Consider the following 20,375-nt stretch of genomic DNA (forward strand, 5'->3'; position numbering starts at 1 on the left):
GAAATAAAATAAAAATAAAAATTATAACTAGGACTGGTGCGGTGGCTCACGTCTGTAATCCCAGCACTTTGGGAGGCCAAGGCAGGCAGATCATGAGGTCAGGAGATAGAGATCATCCTGGCTAACAGGGTGAAACCCATCTCTACTAAAAAAACAAACAAACAAAAAAATTAGCCATGTGTGGTGGCCGGTGCCTGTAGTCCCAGCTACTAGGGAGGCTGAGGCAGAAGAATGGCATGAACCCGGGAAGTGGAGCTTGCAGTGAGCCGAGATCACACCACTGCACTCCAGCCTGGGTGACAGAGTGAAATTCCATCTCAAAAAATAAAAATAAAAATAAAAAAGTTATAACTATATAAGCAAAGAGTATTGGAGGATATTTGTATAACCTTAGAGTAACGACGCCTTTTTAAAGCAAGACAAAAGGAAATGTTAACAAATTTGGCTTCAGAAAAGTCCACAACCTCTACACTGTGAAAGATCCCATAGGGTTCCTAATAAGCAAAGAGCTGTTACGTTTGATAATCCAAATAGCCCAACTGTTGAACATTAATTCACACAACAAAAATTGTAAAATGGTCAAAACATGAAAAAATGTTGTCGTAATTGTAGTAAGGAAATGCATATTAAAACATTATATATTTTCTTTGAATAAAACTAAGCATACTGTTAGTATCTCATAGTGAGAAGAGCGACAGCGTTGAATGAAGTGTGAACTGCTCCACCCTTTTGAGAAGTCATCAGAAAGAGTCTGTGAAGACTGAAAATGCGCGTGCCCTTTGACTCTCAGCTTCCAAAATAAAACGAACCGCACTGCACAGCACTAGCTCCAAGACGCTTCTTGAAACCCTGTTTGTGAAGCCAGCCCTGGCCCTGTTGGGTGGGGCTCCGGGTCAAGGCACCCCCAGTGCTCCCATTTACTTAGCACCTTGACTCAGGAATGGGTTGGACTCTCAGAGCTTACAATGTCTATGAAACACTATTAGAGATCATAAGAAATACATTCAGACTCACAACTACCCACATGTTCATGGAGAGATGTAGAAATAAATAAGCGGATCTTACTCTTGTGTGTTAGTTTAGATGTTAGTTATGAAGAAGGGAGTGAAGAATGTAGTTTCTGCAAGTAAGACAAGCACATCGAGATAGATAATTTGGTATAATTTAACAACATTAAACAAAACTATTTTATCTTCTACTGCATCATCCCATGATTTCAAAATGTCTCATCATAGGTGAATTATTTTCCAAAGTCATTTGAGTTAAGAAAAGAATACAGCTATTCTTCAGAAGGACCAAGCTACTGCAGGAAGCTTGCAACTTACCCCTGTGCAGATGAGCCCAGGGCGCCAGCTCCTTGCTGTGGGGCAAAAGAAAATTCGTCACATGAAAAAAGAAGTTGTTGACATGCAGCTGATTCTTACATAAAAGTGACGTCTATTATTCCTGGGTTTTGAGGAATGGTACCTGGAGTTCTCTTGGGTCCTGAGTTCAGATCTCAGAACCACTTACGTGTGCACGTGTTTTCATTTCTCTCTGGTGAGAAACTGGGAGTGGGATTCTGGTCATGTATTAGACATTTATCTTTTAAAGAAATGCCAAACTGCTTTCCAGTGTGGTGGCACTTTACACCCTCATTTAACTCCCACTAGCAAAAAAACGCAGGAGACTTGCAATTTCTCTACAACTTCACCAACCCTCGGTGGTGTCTGTCTTGTTGATGACAAGCATTCTCCTGGGTGTGTGGTAGTATCTGATTGTGGTTTTTATTTGCAGCTGCCTGATGTAGAATGATGTTGAGCATTTTTTTCCATGTGCTTATGTGGCATCCATATATCTATACATCTACATCTACCTTGGTAAGGAGTTTGTTCAAATCTTTTGCCCATTTTTTATATGTATGTATGTATTTTTATTTATTTTTGTAGAGATGCTCAGGCTGGTCTTGAACTCCTGGCCTCAAGCAATCCTCTTGCTTGGCCTCCCAAAGCACTGAGATTATAGGTGCTTCCCATTGTGTCCAGCCCTCTTGCCCATTTGAAAAACTGAGTTTTCTGTTTGTTTATGTTTTTGTTTGTTGTTTTTTTACAATTGCACTTTGAAAGCTCTTTGTGTCTTTGTGTATTCTGGACATCAGTCTAAGACTTGAAAATATTTTGTTTGCCTGTGGCTTGCACAGGAATGAACACCTGGCTTTATTGTGCATTGCTTTACTGCACTTCACAGATACTGTGTTTTTTCACAAATTGAGGGTTTGTGGTGACCCTGGTCAAGCAAGTATGTCGGCGCCATTTTCCCCGCAGTGTGTGCTCACTTCAATTGTCTGTGTAAGCAGCTTTTAGCAATAAAGCACTTTTAATTCAGACACATAGTTTTTAGACATAATGCTGTTGCACACGTCATGTAAACGTAACTTTTATAAGCACTGGGAAACCAGAAATTCATGTGACTTGTTTTACTGACATGTTTACTTTATTGTGGCTTTCTAAAACCAAACCTGCAGTATCTCTCATGTGTGCCTGTATTTTTATTTTCTTAATGGTGACTTTTGAAGAGCAAATATTTTCAATTTTGGTAAAGTCCAAACTATGATTTTTTTCTTTAATAGGCAGTGATTTTGGTGTCAGATCAAAGACAAGCTTTGTCTCACTAAAGATCACAGAGATTTCATTCTATGCTTGTTTCTAGAAGTGTTCTATGTTCAGCTTTTAAGTTTAGGTGTCAGATGGATTTGGGGCTAATTCTTCCGTGGCGAATGAAGTGATCCTGGGTAATCTTTGTACAGGTATGAAGAACTCAATCATTCTTTTTTCTTTTCCATGTGGATATCCAATTGTTCTAGTACCACTTGTTGAACTATAATTTCTCCCTATTTAATGATTTTAGTACCATTATTTAAAGTCAATTGACCATAAATGAAAGCTTTAACTTTGGACCTTTCTTCTGGTCCATTTCTCTATATCTGTCTCTGTCGGTGCCACACTGTTTTTATTACTGTAGCTTTATGTCTCTCTCTCTGTCAGCGCCACCTGTCTTTAGTGCTACAGCTTTATAGTAACATTTAAAGTCTGGTTGTGTAAGTTCTCCAATTTTATTTTTTCTCAAAATCATTTGGCTAGTACAGTAGCCTAGGTCTTTTGAATTTGCATATACATTTTAGGACCACCTTGTCATTTCTGCTAAAACAGAAGCCTGCTGGGGTTCAGCAGGGATTGTGGTAAATCTGTAGATAAGTTTTGGGGAAAATTGCCCTTTTAATAGTATTTTTTTCCAATCTATGAATGCTGTACACCTTTTCACTTAATAGAGCGTCTCTGACTTCTCTCAGTCATGGTGTGTAGCTTTCAGTGTACATATTTGCATAAGGTTTGTCAAATTTATTCTTTTTTTATTAGACTATGAAAGGAAGTTTTAAAAATATAACCCGGATTTTTCATTGCTGGTGGATAGAGATGTGCGAGCGTGTATTTTAATATGTGCCCCACATCCTTGTTAAGTGATTTAATTATCTTAACTAGGTCTTAAAACATACTTTTTAGGTTTCATTGTCTGCAAATAAACACAGTTTTATTTTGTATTCTCTGTGCCTTCATTTTCCCTGCTATGCTGGGCTGGCCAGAATGTGACTGTGATATCAGAAGTAGGAGGAAAGGGCGTCATCACCTGTGCCCAGCCTCCAAGAGAGGGTCACAAGCCTTTCACCAGTAAATGTCACGTCAGGTACACAGGGTGCTTTCCTATCATTCCTAGGTCACTGAGATTTGTTAAAAATCATGAATGGGAACTTGCTGTTAACAAACCCTTTTCTGCATTGATTGGCATGATTGCGTGGTTACCGTTCTCTATTGGACTAACGTGCTGAGCTGTAGTAATTGATTCCTAGGCCTTAAGCCACTGCTTACCCCTGGAGTGATATCACTTGGCCACAGTGCACATTCCTGCCCCGTGCTGCTCGATTTGGTTTCCCAAGGTCTTATCAGTGATCTCTGCCTGTGTTTCCTGAATGTACTGGCTTATGAATATCTGGTTTGGTGTCAGGTTGATAGTGGCATTGCTGAATGAGTTGGGAAGTGTTGCTTCCTTCTCTGTTTTCTGAAAGAGTCTGTGTGTAGGTTGTATTGTATTTTTTCTTTAAATCTTTGCTGGAATTCATGCATGAAGACTACAGGGCCTGGGATTTTTCTTCACTGGGAGATTTTAAATTAGTAGTTTAGTCTCTTGGCTGTTCTATGTCTATTTAGACTTTCTATGTCTTCTTGAGTTAGTTATAATAATTCATGTCACTTAACCGGAAAGGGAACTAACTTCCTTAAGTTAAAAATCATGTTTCAGGCCAGGTACAGTGACTCATGCTTGTAATCCCAGCACTTTCGGAGGCCAAGGCGGGCGGATCACCTGAGGCCAGAAGTTTGAGACCAGCCTGGCGTGTTAAAACCACATCTCTACTAAAAATACAAAAATTAGTCGGGCGTAGTGGCATACATCTGTGATCCCAGCTACTTGGGAGGCTGAGGTAGGCAAACTGTTTGAACCCAGGAGGTGGAGGCTACAATGAGCTGAGATTTCACCACTTCACTCCACCCTGGGCAACAGAGCGAGACTCTGTCTCAAAAAAAAAGATGCAAAAAGCACATTTCAACTTTGGAAGATGTATCGTGCAGTATAGAAATGTCCAGGAGACTCAGTTCCTTTCCTATCTTTGCACTAGGAAGTCCGTGGTGCATGACTGGTGTTTATGTTCACAAAGACACATAGACACACCCATGCACAGAGCCTCACACACAGACACACACACAGCAGAGTCCATGGGCTGCATCGGCCCTGAAGTAAAGGAGCATGGCTGAGAGGTCCCAACCACCGAGTGACCTTAGACATTGTCCCAGGCCTGGAGAAATGGAGCAGAGAGACAGGTGGTACCTGGAGAACTCCTTTGTCCATTTGCACGTATGGATCTTTCCTCACTGCTTGATGTTTTGAACTCTCTTCTTTGCGGTTATTAATGAGATACTCAAAGGTGGTCATCTTCTTGGCCTCTGGAAAGGGAAAAGGAGGAACAGGACAAGATACCAGCCCTGCGGCTTTGCACGGCGCCCACAGGACAGCTCAGCAGAGTGGCCAGTGCCACTGATCCGGCCCCTGCACAGGGAGAACTGCTCCGCCCACCATGCAGGCCCTGTGAGGTCAGGATGAGTGCAGGTGCCTTGTGGGCCCAGTTCTGCAGCTAGCTGATGGTCAGCAGGAGGGGTCTGCAGCTGCGACCTGGGGAACAGTGCTGACCCACGCCCCTGCCGCCTGCCACGGCCTCATTGAGCTGCATTGTTAGTGGTGTCAGAGATGAGCTGTCTCTCACAGACCTGGGTCCCCTATACCATGCAGCTTGAGAGGTTGCTCCAGATCCCCTGGGATCGCTGGCAGGGGTAAGAGACCAGCTCAGGAGGGGCCGCTCTGTCTGAGGGTCCAGATGGCCTGTGGGGTTCCCCACATCTGGACACTGGGTGGGGCGCACCTTGGGGGATGCACAGAGACCCCACAGTCGGAGGACCACGCAGTGGGGCGGCCACCCCGAGGTGCTGGCTAGCGGGTCCTGGGACCACACACTCCTGAGCGTGCTGAGAGCCCCAGGCCCAGGAGGTGAACACGAGTGCTGTGAGTGCCACTCAGCACAGCCTCTGATGGGGCTGAGACAGGTCACCATCCCTGCAGCCCTGCACAGTGCCCACAGGACAGCTCAGCAGGCTGGCCAGAGCCCTACCCACCTGGCCTGTCCTGCAGGCAGCAAAGCAGCCCAGGGAAGCAAAGCAAAACCTGATACACCCGTTTATCTAAAAGAGCCGTCTTAACAAACGTTAATAAAATGGGCTCTGCACCTATTTCAGCCACGAGCTTCCATGGAGGGGCCAAACTCTCCATGCTTCTTTCCCTAAACACCAACACCGTGAGAGCCGATGTCTTGTGACTATTTCTGGAGACTGGGGCGGCCGCCCACAGAGGCCTATTTGCAGTGAGGAGCAGATGGCGGTGGGCGCCCTGGGGAGCTGCCTGTGGCCAGCCCAGCCTTCACAGGATGCGTCTCACCACAGCCTCTCCAGTCCTGTGAGGTAGAGAAGAAGCTCCTGGACATCCTGGAGTCACTGCCCAGGGAGGCTCTGGGTCACGGGGGTGGGGACAGGCCTGGGCGTCCTGCCTCCCGCCCACAGCAGCCGACTGCCTGTCCTTTCATGTTTCTGCCACACTTGGTCTGGGCTTTGCGTTCAAGAAGCCCATTCCAAGTGCAGTGCCTGGCTCAGAGGACAGACCAGGTCATCCCTCCCAGCCCCGCATGGCTTCAGGCCCACTGCACTTCCCTGCTCTGCCGCCTGAGGCAAGGGCCAGCTTCTCTGCAGCACAAGGGCCTGCAGCACCCCACGTGCTCAGCACACAGTGGGCATTGACTATTTTAACCCAGGGAAACATTTTGTACACAAAGTTGGAAAAAAATGACAAGTGCAGACTTTGTATTACTGGGCAGTTTGAGCATCCCTTAATCTGCGGCACATGTGGATGAGACCATGTGGCCTCGGCCCAACCTCGGCCGATTCTCCTGTTGTGGGGGGACTCACCCTGACTCTAAGCATCTGAGGGTGAGAGATTTCCTGATAAGGAGAGATGATGAATTCTGGGTGGAGTGAAACTCCAGAAAAGCCTTCATAGGTGGTAAACCCAAAAATATTTAAATATAAGAGAGATTGCTAGATAATTCTAGAAAGTACTTTTAAAAATATTCCTGATTCTAAGAAGGGTGGAGAGTTTTGAAGGAGGCCCAAATGACTTCTCACTCTTAAGGGTTTCAGCTTCAGGAACAGGCAGCCTGTAACATTCTACAAGGCAGACGCGTGTCTCCATGAAGTTACACCTGAGGCTTTAGTTCCATTCCATTCAGTAAACATATCCTAAGCACCTATTCTATACAGGCACTGGCCTTGACATCCAAAATTAAAACTCTGAAAACAGCACATTCAGCTCTGTGTCCGTAGGATTTAATCCAGTGATTTTCATTGCACTTTCATTAAAAAAAATTCAACCCTCAGGCAAGACAACAGTGACTGTAAGATATGCGTTAGAGGTGTGTGTTTTAAAACATCCCCAGGGTTGTGTGGGGACAGTGGTTTGTAGGGTAACCTGTGGTTATGAACAAGGAGGCTCTTGGTGGGGTGTGTTCATTCTGAGCTGGGCGTTCTTGCCACAACTGCAGGCAGGGGATGCTCTGGAGATGGAGGTGAGCCCAGAGCCTGACCCACCCAACTCCCTCTGCCCTGACCAGGGGTTGGCCAAGCTGTCAGGAGCAGGGCATTCTTGGGGGCTGGCCTGGACACACTCTGCTGCCCGTGTCCACAGAAACCCCCTGAGAGGCCACAGCCTCGGGGCCACCACTGCCCAGAGAATGGAAGACGCTTTGCAGCTGGCCCACCATGACCAAAACGGCTGGTGCCAGGAGCAGGGAGGTTGTTGTTACTTCCAACACAGGTTTCCTTGGGGCTGGGGAGTTTACCCTCCGTCGTTCAGCAACATGACTGACCGCCTACCGCTGTGCCCACTGTGAGACCAAGCAAGACCACCAGCTCTCGCTTCAGTTGTTTGGTTAGTGGGTGACCTGCCTGTAATATATTTCATTGTTAGAATTTCTACTTGTGTTTTTGGAAGTCCACCTGTCCTTATTTCATAATGTCCTGTTCTTGCCTAATAGATTCCATTCCATTGTCTCTGAACATTTTAAACTTGTTACTTCAAGCACCTGGCACCACTCCTGCAGGTCTCGGCGTGAGTTCAGCTTCTTGCTGGGCCTGCTGGGTCCTCATGGATTTAATTTCTTCCTGTGATTTGCCCTTTTTGTCCATGATCTCACTTCTGGGAGAGGCTGACCCTGAACACATGCGCACACGGGGGACAAAGACTCTGGCCCCAGGCGTGGGGGGCTCAGGGTTAGGGACATACTCAAGTAGAGGTGTAAGATGAGCAGCTCTGACCACCCAGCCTTGGGGGGATCGGGGGCTTAGGGTGGGGGACATACTCAGGTAGATGTGGAAGATGAGCAGCTGGCCCAGGTGCACCAAGCCAAGAAAGTCCAGCAGGAGCACGAGCATCCCGATGATCACGACTATCAGGGTCTGCACCTGCACCGGGAACAGGGGGAGGAACAGCAGCCACGTGTTCATATTCTTGACATCTGGGGAGACAAGGGAGAGCCACTGTGTCCAGCACCTGCTGACGGGTGCCACATCAGGTGGACGTCACAGACCAGAGCGTGCTGGGGATGGGGCGGTGTGGGGACAGCCAGTGCGAGGGATGTCTCCCTGCCCAGGTGGACGCCTCCCTTACCTGAGTGCCCCGTAGGCCCTGCTGCCTTCGGTTGGTTTTCATGATCCCTGCTTTATGGATCTGGGAGGTGAGGCTCCAACATTGTCACTAAGTGCCGGGGTCACAGTGCCCACCCCTTCCTAAGTGCTGGGGTCACAGCGCCCACCCCTTGCTCACTAAGAGCCAGGGTCACAGCGCCCACCCCTTCCTAAGTGCCGGGGTCACAGCGCCCACCCCCCTTCCTCACTAAGTGCCGGGGTCACAGTGCCCACCCCTTCCTCACTAAGTGCCGGGGTCACAGTGCCCACCCCTTCCTCACTAAGTGCCAGGGTCACAGCACCCATCCCTTCCTTATTTAGTGCCAGGGTCACAGTGCCCACCCCTTCCTAAGTGCCGGGGTCACAGCACCCACCCCTTCCTAAGTGCTGGGGTCACAGTGCCTGCCGGCTCTGCCGGGCCCCAGCACCCATCCTTTCCTAAGTGCCAGGGCCCCAGCACCCACCCCTTCCTTACTAAGTGCCAGGGTCACAGTGCCCACCCCTTCCTTACTAAGTGCCGGGGTCACAGTGCCCACCCCTTCCTCACTAAGTGCCAGGGTCACAGTGCCCACCCCTTCCTCACTAAGTGCCGGGGTCACAGTGCCCACCCCTTCCTCACTAAGTGCCGGGGTCACAGTGCCCACCCCTTCCTCACTAAGTGCCAGGGTCACAGCACCCATCCCTTCCTTATTTAGTGCCAGGGTCACGGTGCCCACCCCTTCCTAAGTGCCGGGGTCACAGAGCCTGCCAGCTCTGCCAGGCCCCAGCACCCATCCCTTGCTCATGGCCCACTCTGTGTCCCTGGACCCGCTGCACCCTAAAACAGCTGCCTTCAAATAGAACAGGAAAGCCACAGCTCTCGCCTGGGGTCATTTCTAAGATATGGTCCTCTGTGACACTGGGCTGCCAACACTCAAAACCACACTTCCAAAAATCAGGCGTAATGCAGAATGGCAGAGGGCCAGGCAAGGCAGAATGGCAGAGGGTGGGGCAAGGCAGAATGGCAGAGGGATGGATTCAGCATGGATGTCTTTGGGTGACTCAGCATGGATGTCTTTCGGTGACAGACCCTCTCTGGAACTGGTGGCCTCGGGGCCATCCTAGAAGGCAAACACCACACTCAGCCTGACAGGACCGCAGCTCCATGTGCCTGGGCCGGGCTGGACCCCATGCTGCCCCCCTTAGCCAGTGACATCACGATGAGTTCAGCCCATGAGAAGAAGGAGCAGCTTTGCTCAGGGCCTTGCTGGTTTTGAAGCCCTGCAGAATCATCTGGAACAGCAAACCCAGGAATTCACTCAGGCCACAATCAATGAATTCACACGGAGACACTGGCACTGCCCTGTGGAAGCAGCATGTTCCAGGAGAGAAGGCAGCACATGCCATCTTGGCCACCTCTGCTCTCTCACTCTCCCCTGGCATCCCCCACAGGGAGAGCCCAGACAACATGGAGGCTGCTGGGGAAGGTGACTTGCTACTGGGGGAGAAGAACGCAACAGGCATCGTCCTGGGCTTGGGTCCGCTGAGGTCAGGGCCTCGCCAGGGTGGAGCTGGCTTTCAGGAAGTGCTTCAGAAGCGGCTGTGAGGCCCTGGAGGCATCAGTCACGCTTCGAAGTGGAAGGAGGAGCTTTAGGGACTTCCACGTGGAGCTGGCAAAGCTCATCCTTGAAAAAAATGTCACACCGTGTTGGCTCCGGAATGTTCTGGAACAAGGGCAGGCAAGTCCTCCCTGTCTCGCCACCCGGGCTGTGTGCAGTGCGGGTGCAGCCATGCCTGGGGCTGAGACTGGCAGTCTTGTCCTGCACCCCGAGGGGCTTCTCTGGCCCAGGTCCTCCTGGTCAGGGTCCTGGCGCTGCTGCAATAAATACATCAAATGGTGGCGGGTGGGGGCAGCTTCTCCAGCAGACTCTTGCAGTCTGAGGCAGGCAGGGCTCTGACGTCCAGCTGCAGGACAGTTGGGCACGCTGCCTCCGCAGGGTCCAGGGAGGTCTTCCCAATTTTGCCAGCTCCTGTGGCTCCCGGCGACCCCGGGCTGTGGCTGTGTGACTCCACCCCTGCCTCCATCCTCACGAGGCCACCTCCCCTCTGTGTCTCTCCTTTCTCTTACAAGCACACTCGTGGCTGGATTTGGGCCCCCTGGGACATCCCAGCACGACCCTCCCACCTCAGATATTAAGTCACAGCCACAGGCCCATTTCCCGAGGATGCTGGCATCACGGGATCTGGGTTAGGCGTGGACTCGCCTCTGGAGCCCACAGTCCTCACCGCCACGTCTCTCCAGTGGCTCAGTGTGAGCATCGGTTCCCGAGGCCCAGGCTCCGGGCCCACTTGGCCAAGGGCCTCAGCGCACCGCAGCCTACAGCCCAGCACCCTCAGCGCTGCCTCCACTCTCCCTCCCCATGGGCTGCTCCTGCAGGATGGGCACCCCCACCCTCCCACAACTACATGGCCCCACAGGATGGTGTGACAGGTGCTACAGGGATGACTGCGGAGGGCAGGGGCAGAGGTGGACCCCACTGTCTCTCGCCTGACACGACCTGGCAGCATCTACAGAGCAGCGTGGCCAGCGCCCTCCCCGAGCCTGCCTCCCGCGCGCTGGGGGCTGCTGGGCTGTATGAACACTGGGCTGCTGCCGTCGGGCCAGGTCAGAGCCTGCATGGGGCTGCCTGCCCCGGCCTCTCCCTGGGACAAGAGGGGCCGACCACCCCAGACCCGATACTACCACCCGGAAAGACGGCTGGAGGCGAGGATGAGGCCCCTTGAGAGCGGCGGCCACGTACCTTCATACCTGGGGTCCGTGCGGAGCACCCCGGGGTTCACGAGGTACTGGACGAGGACATACAGCAGGATGGCGATCAGGCAGAGCATGCCAGCTGTGGCCGAGGCCACAGTGCTGAAGAAGAACCTGCCGGGAGACACACAGGCAGGCATGGGGGTGGGGACGTGGGAGCAGTGGGGGCGCAGGGGCAGGTGTGGGGGGCACGGGGGCAGGGGGTGTGCACGGGGTGGGCAGGGGCGGGCGTGGGGGGCACAGCGGCAGGGGCATGCGGGGCATGTGGGACAGGTGTGGGGGCGGGGAGGCAGGGGCAGGGACACGCAGGGCATCTGAGGCAGGGGCGGGGGCATGCAGGGCAGGTGGGGGGTGCAGAGGCAGGGGCAGGGACACGCAGGGCATCTGGGGCAGGGGCGGGGGCATGCAGGGCAGGTGTGGGGGGCGCAGGGGTGGGGACGCGCAGGGCATCTGGAGCCCGCAGGGTGGAGGTGACAGGTCAGTGTGGGCGTCCACTTGAGGGCGCCTGGCCACCGCCCAACGCTGGCCTCAAACCCTGCTCCCGACCGCGCCTGGAAGCTCAGGCTCCTGTCTCTGTGCCGTCCTGTGACGCCCCCCCAGGTCTCCAGGCCTCTCGCTGGAGAGGGGTGGCCGTGGGACATTCCCACCAGCACACCGCCCGACAATTCAGGCAGCGCTTCTTGCAAACGTGATTGCCTTTAATCCCCACAAGGAACAAGGAGGTTGTGAGGAGGGGGAACCAGCCCTTTTCACGAGTGGGGAAAGTGAGGTCAGAGATGCGGTGCGACTCGCCCAAGCCTACCAGCGGAGCATGAGGGTCACACGGCGTCTCCAGTGTCACAGCTCTGGGGCCTCTGCCCGCACCTCCCGACTCCACCTGATGCAGACAGGCCTCCCTACCAGCCAAGGAGCACGCGGGCTCGGTCCACTCGGGGGGCCCTGAGCATGGTCTGTGCTGGGGTCTCCATGGCACCATGCTGGGCAAAGGCACTGAAGCCAGGGAAGGGGAGAGCCACGAGAGTGCCGTGGCACCCAGGAGGGCCTGCAGGCTCAGGGACCTGGATCTCTGCACCCAAAGGGAACTCGGGCTGAGGAGGCCCTGGAGGAGCCCGGCCACACCTCGGCTGCAGTCCCCCCTTCTCCAAGGGTCTCGTGCAAATCTGAGCCAAAAGCGATGTCCATGCTGTAGACGTGAGACCAAATCCACTCCCAGTCTCTCGTCTTTGCTCAAAAGATGCAGAGAATAATCCATCCACAAAAACCAATTCTGGGCAGCAGTTCCTGGAACATACTTTGACTAAACCATCTTCCCTTGGTCTTTCTGCCATGATGATATTTTTTTAAAAGTATCCTTTAACCTCCTTTAATCCTTTCCATTGTATTATGTTCACCTAAGCTTGTTTAAATCCCTTTTTCTATTTTCAACTGGAGGCCAGAGCATGAATGCCGCAGTCCTCCGAAGAGGCAGTTAGGGCACAGCTGCCTTCCCCGCGCTCCTCCTCCCTCCAAGAGTCTTCTGGATAATCCAGGGGTGACGGGTGGCTCCAGGCATGAGCGGCTCCCTGACTGCTGCTCCCTCATACTGCCTTCCCTCTCACAGCTTAGGTTTCCCAAGCAGCAGCCCCTCCAGGCAGCGGACACGCCCTACCCTGCCCCCAGTCCTCCTGGGCTTGAGCCCACTTGTGGGGAGTAAAGACCCCTCATCTTCATCCTACTGTCTGGACAGGACTCCCCTCTTCATCCAGGAAAGAAGGCGGGTCTCTAAGACCACAGAGACAAAAGCCCACAGGATGGGGCAGAGCCATTCACGCGGGGCCTCCTCTCCCCGCAGCCACCCAGGGACATTCTCCTCTTGGTTAGCACAGCCTCCTGCCCCTGCTGCCTGTGTTTAACCTGCAGAGTCCGAGGCCAGCGCTCACAGTCTTCCCAGGACACCAGCGCCGCCTGCCTTCTTTCCGTCCCCCTTCCTCTCTTATCACTACGAAGTATGCAGCCTCCCTCACAGGGGCTCTGCCATCAGCTGGGCCTCCCCATGGGGGCTCCGCCATCAGCTCGGCCTCCCTCGCGGGGGCTCTGCCATCAGCTCCTCAACTTTCCTCATCTTGCTCTCAATGCCGTTGCTCTCTCCGCCTCTGGCGGATGAAGGGACAGAAGCGAGGTTGGCACAGATGCCGGCGTTGGCTGCTGCCTGGAGCTGAGGGCGCCCATGACCCCGGCCCTGCTCTCCTGATGCCCCTTTCCCACACCCAGGCGGTGTCTACACTTGGCACCCACGTGGTCCCTCTCCAGCACCCCTCCTGAGGAAGGCAGACCCTCTCCTTGCCACCTGCCTGTGGGCCCTCACCCCCTCACCTTCCCCACCAGGACCCGCCAGATTGAGCCAGCTCGAGGCACCAGAGCAGAATGAGTCCAGAAGGAAGTGGCACCTGGGGCTAGCATGAGCCAGAGGAGCTGGCCCCACCTTGGCCATCGTGGAGCTGCTCTTCTCCAGGGGAGGAGGCCGGTGGGTCTCCCCGGCCCCTACCATCTCACGCAGCCTCTGGACTCGCTGTGCGGTCATGCAACCTCTCTGTCCCTGCCGGGCTGCTCAGCCTCTCTGGACACATGCTGTGCTCCAGACGGGATGGCAGGGAGGCAGGGCAGGGACCGCCCGGTGCGTCCTGTGACACCAGGCAACGTTGGTCCCCACTCCCACGCACACCAAGGCCTCTTTCAGGTCAGCACAGAGTAGCTGGGGAGCAGGCGTGGTTCTTTTCCCTGGTGATCTTCACAATACAGTGCTGCAGACAGCCGGGGCTCAGCACACGGGGCCTTGAGAGTCCCTGGATCCTCCACTGTGCTCAGGGGAAACACCTCTCATCTATGAGCCTCCACCGTGCTCAGGGGAAACAACCTCTCGTTCTTGAGCCTCCACCGTGCTCAGGGGAAACACGTCTCATCTGTGAGTCTCCACCGTGCTCAGGGGAAACACCTCTCGTTCTTGCACCTCCACCATCCTCAGTGGAAACACCTCTCATCCTTGCGCCTCCACCGTGCTCAGGGGAAATACCTCTCGCCTGTGAGCCTCCACCATGCTCAGGGGAAACACCTCTCGTCCTTGAGCCTCCACCATGCTCAGGGGAAACACCTCTCGTTCTTGAGCCTCCACCGTGCTCAGGGGAAACACCTCTCGTCTATGAGCCTCCACCGTGCTCAGGGGAAACACGTCTCATCTGTGAGCCTCCACCGTGCTCAGGGGAAACACCTCTCGTTCTTGCACCTCCACCATCCTCAGTGGAAACACCTCTCATCCTTGCGCCTCCACCGTGCTCAGGGGAAAGACCTCTCGCCTGTGAGCCTCCACCATGCTCAGTGGAAACACCTCTCATCTGTAAGCCTCCACCGTGCTCAGGGAAACATCTCTCTTCCTTGCATCTCCACCGTGCTCAGGGGAAACACCTCTCGTCTATGAGCCTCCACCGTGCTCAGGGAAACACCTCTCATCTGTGAGCCTCGACCATGCTCAGGGGAAACACCTCTCGCCCATCTGCGCTGGGTGCCCACTGCCCTTCCGTGGCCCCACCCTTGTGCTGGATGAGCCTCAGCCTGGGTGGAGAGAAGGCAGCCCAGCCCAGGACAGCGTGGTCAGGAGGCCTCAGCCAGCGTGGCCCCGCAAGTGCCCCCGGGGGGCCTCCAGGGACTTACTCTATGCGGATGAGCTTGTCCAGGGACGGCTGCACCACAGCCCCAGAGCCAGACAGGAGGCCGGGGCACGCAGGCACCAAGCGCCACCACATCAGGACAGGGACGCGGCCCCAAGAGGACCCTCCACCCTTTCAACACGATGACCCCTGCCCACAGACCCCTCCCTTCCAAATTCCCCCAAGCCTGGCCCGTGCCGGCCATCCCCTCTGTGCCCCTCACCAATAATTCCGGCTTCCCACGCAGTTGTTGATCCATTTGCAGTGGTGGTCGAAGCCGGACACACACTTATTGCAGGAAATGCAGTGTTTGGTTTTCTTGTTCCTGGAGGGATGAATCGGGGAACGCCTGTCAGGCCCCAAGTGCGCAGGTTGGGGCAGGGCCAGAGGTCCATCACTGGAAGCCAGGTGCCTCGGAGGAACCAGCCCTGTGCGGCCTGGGGAGAGGGCGTCCAGCAGGGAATGGGAGGCTGGGGGAGGGTGTTGAGGCCTGTGGGGAGGAGGAGAAGCAGGGCAGCTGTGGGCAGAGGTAGCCACAGAGCAGGAGGAGCTGTGTCTTTGGCCGCCCTGAGCATAGACCCCCCGCCAGCCGTCCTACACCAGCCTCACTCTGGGCCATGGCCCTGGAGGAGGCCGCGCCTGCCCCATGGTTCCAGGAGTTGAGGCCGGGGGCTTGGATCCCACCTGTGCCTACAGGGCCTCCCTTGCAGCTGACAACAGCCCTGTAGCCAACCCCTAGGCCATCACAGAGGCCTCCAGGGCCCCTGGAGACACTGGAACCCTTACCTCCCACTTTCCTAGGGGCTTGTCTTGAAACTCCCCAAGAAAGACAGTGCTCTCTTGCCCTGGGCCCTCAGGGGAGGGACCTCGTGCACAAAATCCACTGAGGACCAAACATGCCTGAGTGCTGCTGTGTTTCATTCCAGGGGAGCAGCGGGTCACCTGCAGGTGACAGACCCAGCCCTCCAGTCTCAGCCCTGCCTGCGGAGGAGTTGGGGCGGCCCGGCACCGCGCCCGGTTCACAGCGAGATGAGGGGCGATCCACCCGCAGCCACAGGGCCGGGCCCTGGAAGCTCCACTAGCATCAGCTGCGGCCATGGCACGGGCCCTGAGGGGCCAGCAGTGACCTGAGCACCAGGACCCTGGAGGTGACCCTGACACCTTGGGGCCTCGGCGAGGGCGGGCACTCACACGGTGACCTTGCACAGGTGGCAGAACTGATTCTGGATCACGTGTGCATGTTTTGATCTGTCGAAGAGGGGCATGGGCTGAGAATAGTTCTTCATGAGTCTGACATTGGAGTCGGCCGGGTCGATGCAGGACGCGATCAGGTGGACGACGAGGTGGAACGAGAAGATCCCCCCGGTCACCTGGCATGTCAAGGAAGAACCTGGCCCAGGGCCTGGTCAGCCTGGCACGAGGCGTCCCCGTGAGGCCCAAGGGCCCAGAAGAGGCGTGGCCGCTGGTCAGCCCTGCTCACCCAGCCCTGCACACGTGAGCCCAGCTCACCCAGGCCTGGCCCTGCTCACACAGCCCTGCACACCCAGCCCTGCACAACTGAGCCCTGTTCGCCTGGCCCTGCTCACCTGGGCGTGCTCACCTGGGCCTGCACACCCAGCCCTGCACAGCCAGCCCTGCACAGCCAGCCCTGCACACCCAGCCCTGCTCACCCGAGCCCAGCTCACCCATGCCCGGCCCTGCTCACATGGCCCTGCTCATCCAGTCTTGCACACACGGCCCTATACACCCGGCCCTTCACACATGGCCCTGCACACACAGCCCTGCTCACCCAGATCTAGAGGAGATGAGTCCACCCGTCGGCCCTGCACACACAGCCCTGCTTACCCAGGCCTAGAGAAGATGAGGCTACCCATTGGCCCTGCATACACAGCCCTGTGCCAGTCGGGGACCGGGAAGGCTGCCCCCGTGCCCCTTTTGGTTCATCCCTGTTGGACACAGGGCAAATCCCCCACAGAATGTACCGCACCCCCAGAGGCTCAGTCAGCCCAGCCAAGCACAGTGACCCCAAAACCCTTTACAGCTTGAGGGACAGAGCAGGGCCACAGGAGGGACATCCCAGGTATAAACACAGCCGGATGCAGCCCCAAAGGCCCTGGAGGAGCCTGGGTTCTTTCATACCAGAGACCCCTGAGCACTGGGAGAGAAGACAGCCTCAGACAGGAGGAGCAGGGGGAGGAGCGAGGGAGCTGCACAACCTACCCGCTCCCTGTAGACCCCAGACAGCTCACTCAGGGACCCTCTCCCCGAGAATAGCTCAGGGAAACCCCCCTCAGACTCCCTCAGGGCCCCTCCGGACTCTCTCGGGGACTCCAGACTCTCTCGAGGACCCCAGACTCACTCAGGGACCCTGGGCCTCTTTCTTGGGCCCTCTGGGCTCAGAGCCTGGCTGCGGGGGCACTGGGGAGAGGATCCTTGTCCCCTGGAGCCAGGAGAAGCTGGGCTCCCCGTGCCTGGGACGTCAGCTCCCGCCCTCAGATCCTGGCTCCCTCCTCCTCTCACCCTGGGACAAACACAGACTCTCCATGGCAACCAAATAGAAGGGGTGGAGTGCGGGGCCCTCCAGTCACCCTGCCTGGCCCCTGGACCGCCTTCTAGCCAGGAGTTCAGGGTTGACAGCCATCTCCGCAGGGCAGCCCAGAGGCCCTCGCAGTGTGGCCTAAGCTTGGCATGGAAACGCAGGCTGCCGACCTGCGGGGCATGGCGCTGTTCCTCCTTGGCACCAGGGGCAAGGAGAAAGGTGCTGGCCATGTGCAAAATGCTGCGCAGGGATTTTAGCGGAAGGCTGCCAGCAGGGCGGGTCCTGCGCCACGCCAGGGGGCTGCTGTCCCTCCTGACAGATTCCCTCTCCGGAGCCCCCTCAGCCAACGCTGTCCTGTCCTGACCCTAAGCAGGGGCTGCACAGAGCATGAGTGGCCACTGGGCCCACCTGCAGGCTCAGGGGACATAGTCTGGCCCAGGGCAGGTGACTGGTGCCACCGGGCAGCCATGGCCCAGACCCCACAGCCAGGTCCATCGCAAGTTCCTCCAGGAACCCCTCCCGCTTAGACCATGCCACGATGAAAAGGATACCACGTAGGCAATGTATTTCCACGCGTGAGGCAGGAAGGGAATGAAGATCCCGAAGGTGGCCGAGGAAAGGCCCACGAAGACAGCCCAGGTCACCACCTGGAAGTAGTGCAGGGGTAACGACCAGCCGTTCACTCTGGAGATGCGGGGCGGCAAGACCAGCTTTTCATTATTGAGTATGGCTTCTGGGGTGACGGAACACTGGCTCCCGGAGCGGGTGTCCATCTGCAGGACACAGAAGGGGAGGACCTGCGCCGTCAGATCCTGGGAGGGCCGGCCCCGCCCACTGTCACAGAGACCAAGGGGACTGGGAATGCAGCCGCCAGGACCAGCACTGACAGCCAATGGCCCAGCACTGCCTGGGGCCACGTTCCCCGCAGAGGGAGCAGGGGCTGGGCTGGAGTCGGTGCAGGGCCCCGCCCAGGGGAATGAACAGACATGCTGCAGAATGTGACCCCGGCCAGAGCCGAGTGGCAACGGAAAACGGCTCTCCAGGGTGTGGAGGACCCAGTGCCCGCGCGACCGCCCATCAGTTCCCCTGAGGATTTGTTACGTTCTGGGGAGTGCTCGACAGCCCCCACACAGCGACAGGTCCCACAACCCGTTCACGAATACACAGGCCCACCCAGGACTCCCCAGGTGCAAGAAGAAAACCCACGTCAGAAAGAGGCCACACTGAGCAGAGGGCTGCGCCTGTGAGAAACTGAGGCAATGCCTGAAGAGCTCGTGAGCCGTTACTCACTGGTGCAACACTGAAACCTGCCAGATCCTCCCTGAGAGGCTTCTCTGAGCTTCCCAGAGGAGCAGGACCCGAGAGCTCACTTCACAGGGTCCTGTGTGTCTCCCCTTCCACAGGACAGGGAAGCCCGTCCAGCCACGCGGGGCTGGGGTCTCCGCCCGGGTGGACAGTGGCTGGGAGGTTCTGAACACGCTGCGGCTGCTCCTGGCCAGTCAGGTGGGGAGGGCGGCAGGGGTGGGAGGGACGTGGTGTCACAGAGCGGCAGTGAAAGACACTCAACGGCCGCTACGGGGTGGGGGGTTGATCTTGAGGGGCTGGGCGGTCTCTACAGAGGAGGGTTAGGAAGCTTCGCCACGTTATGCCTCGCTCAAAGTCCTTGTTGTCTCTTTGGGAAAAAACCTTCAGAAAATGAAGTTGATATTAAATGTATTTCTTTGAGAAGAGAGACATTGAGAAATAGTTAACAATTCTTCGTTCTTGCAGTCGTGAACGTCCATGATACAGTGGCTCTGCGCTGCCTTTGGTGGCTCCTCCCTGGTCCTCTAAATGTGACACCAGGCGGATGCGGGGCCACAGGACCCTGGGGCTTGAGTCACACAAGAATGTCTCTGGGAGACCCGAGAGACTCACAGTTATGAAACAGGACCATGGTTCTTTGGCCGGGCGCGGGGGCTCACGCCTGTAATCCCAGCACTGTGGGAAGCCGAGGCGTGCCTATCACCTGAGGTCAGGAGTTCCAGACCAGCCTGGGCAACACGGCGAAACCCTGTCTCTACTAAAAATACAAAGATTAGCAGGGCATGGTGGCACATGCCTCTAATCCCAGCTACTCGGGAGGCTGAGGCATGAGAATCGTTTGAACCTGGGAGGTCGAGGCTGCAGTGAGCCAAGATTGCACCACTGCATTCCAGCCTGGGCAACAGAGGGAGACTCCATCTCAAAAAAAAAAAAAAGAAAGAAAGAAAAGTCAAAGTTACCAAGGAAGGAAATAGAAACACAGAAAGACAACCCTGTACATTAAAAACACAATTCCCAGTTAAAAACAAAACCCAAATGAAAGTGCCAACAAACAGAAATGATGTCGCCAAGTCACATTGGTAAAACCTGGAATATCAAATCCAGGAAGGACCACAGATCTTAGAGAGGAGAAGAGGGGAATCGCTCAGCGGCCTTGAGCCTTGAGCCTGGAGACAACACGTTCATCTGTCAGGATTTCAGAACAGAAAGGTGGAGAGTCTGTGAGAGAAAAAAGAAAACACTGAAGAACTTTGAGAAGACTGAAGACTTCAGGTCGAAACTGTGCACCAAGAGCTGGAAAGGATGATTGGAAAAAGTAATACATCCAAATTAGAGAAAATGTGAGCAAGCCAGGGAGACAGACCCCACAGAGGACAACGAGCAGCGGGGACAGACTCCACAGAGGACAGTGAGCCAGGGGGACAGACCCCACGGAGGACAATGAGCAGCGGGGACAGACGCCACGGAGGACAGTAAGCTGGAGGTACAGACTCCACAGAGGACAGTGAGCAAGGGGGACAGACCCCACGGAGGACAGCGAGCCGGGGGGACAGACCACACGGAGGACAGCGAGCAGCGGGGACAGACCCCACAGAGGACAGCAAACCGGGGGACAGACCCCATGGAGGACAGCGAGCCGGGGGAAGAGACCCCACGGAGGACAGCAAGCAGCGGGGACAGACCCCACG

General features: G+C 55.4%; 1 protein-coding gene across 34 annotated transcripts in view, besides 3 other annotated features; it reads right to left on the reverse strand.

The window, feature by feature from the left end:
- ZDHHC11 (zDHHC palmitoyltransferase 11) overlaps window positions 1-20,375 on the reverse strand; it is a 64,959-nt gene that overhangs the window by 36,843 nt on the left and 7,741 nt on the right. For 8 of the 34 annotated variants that reach the window (XR_007058638.1, XR_007058637.1, XR_007058639.1 and 5 more), the window contains 8 exons: window positions 17,934-18,155; window positions 16,035-16,213; window positions 15,067-15,333; window positions 11,153-11,277; window positions 8,048-8,203; window positions 7,772-7,900; window positions 4,918-5,033; window positions 1,326-1,360 (listed from right to left, as the gene is read on the reverse strand). Coding sequence is in view for 28 of the 34 variants with exons in the window: in XM_047417747.1 (XP_047273703.1) it covers window positions 1,326-1,360; window positions 4,918-5,033; window positions 7,772-7,900; window positions 8,048-8,203; window positions 11,153-11,277; window positions 15,067-15,333; window positions 16,035-16,213; window positions 17,934-18,155 (1,229 nt within the window). In the remaining 6 variants the exon portion in view is untranslated. Of the gene's footprint in view, window positions 1-1,325; window positions 1,361-4,917; window positions 6,092-6,994; window positions 8,204-8,355; window positions 10,228-11,152; window positions 11,278-15,066; window positions 15,334-16,034; window positions 16,214-17,933; window positions 18,540-20,375 lie in introns of those variants that run through there. The other 26 variants (XR_007058640.1, XM_024446212.2, XM_047417749.1 and 23 more) reach the window with 25 other exon arrangements.
- Window positions 14,181-14,330: an enhancer, noted in NCBI's record as "active region_22302". NCBI's record gives its function as "activates an Ori minimal core promoter by ATAC-STARR-seq in GM12878 lymphoblastoid cells {active_cell/tissue: GM12878}" and the evidence as "EXISTENCE:reporter gene assay evidence [ECO:0000049][PMID:35858748]".
- Window positions 17,231-17,882: an enhancer, noted in NCBI's record as "H3K4me1 hESC enhancer chr5:849793-850444 (GRCh37/hg19 assembly coordinates)". NCBI's record gives its function as "activates a minimal SCP1, AML or CMV promoter by ChIP-STARR-seq in naive H9 embryonic stem cells {active_cell/tissue: H9 hESC(naive)}" and the evidence as "EXISTENCE:reporter gene assay evidence [ECO:0000049][PMID:30033119]".
- Window positions 17,883-18,532: an enhancer, noted in NCBI's record as "H3K4me1 hESC enhancer chr5:850445-851094 (GRCh37/hg19 assembly coordinates)". NCBI's record gives its function as "activates a minimal SCP1, AML or CMV promoter by ChIP-STARR-seq in naive H9 embryonic stem cells {active_cell/tissue: H9 hESC(naive)}" and the evidence as "EXISTENCE:reporter gene assay evidence [ECO:0000049][PMID:30033119]".

Source organism: Homo sapiens, chromosome 5, assembly GCF_000001405.40.
Source record: "Homo sapiens chromosome 5, GRCh38.p14 Primary Assembly".
In the NCBI taxonomy this organism is placed as follows: domain Eukaryota; kingdom Metazoa; phylum Chordata; class Mammalia; order Primates; family Hominidae; genus Homo; species Homo sapiens.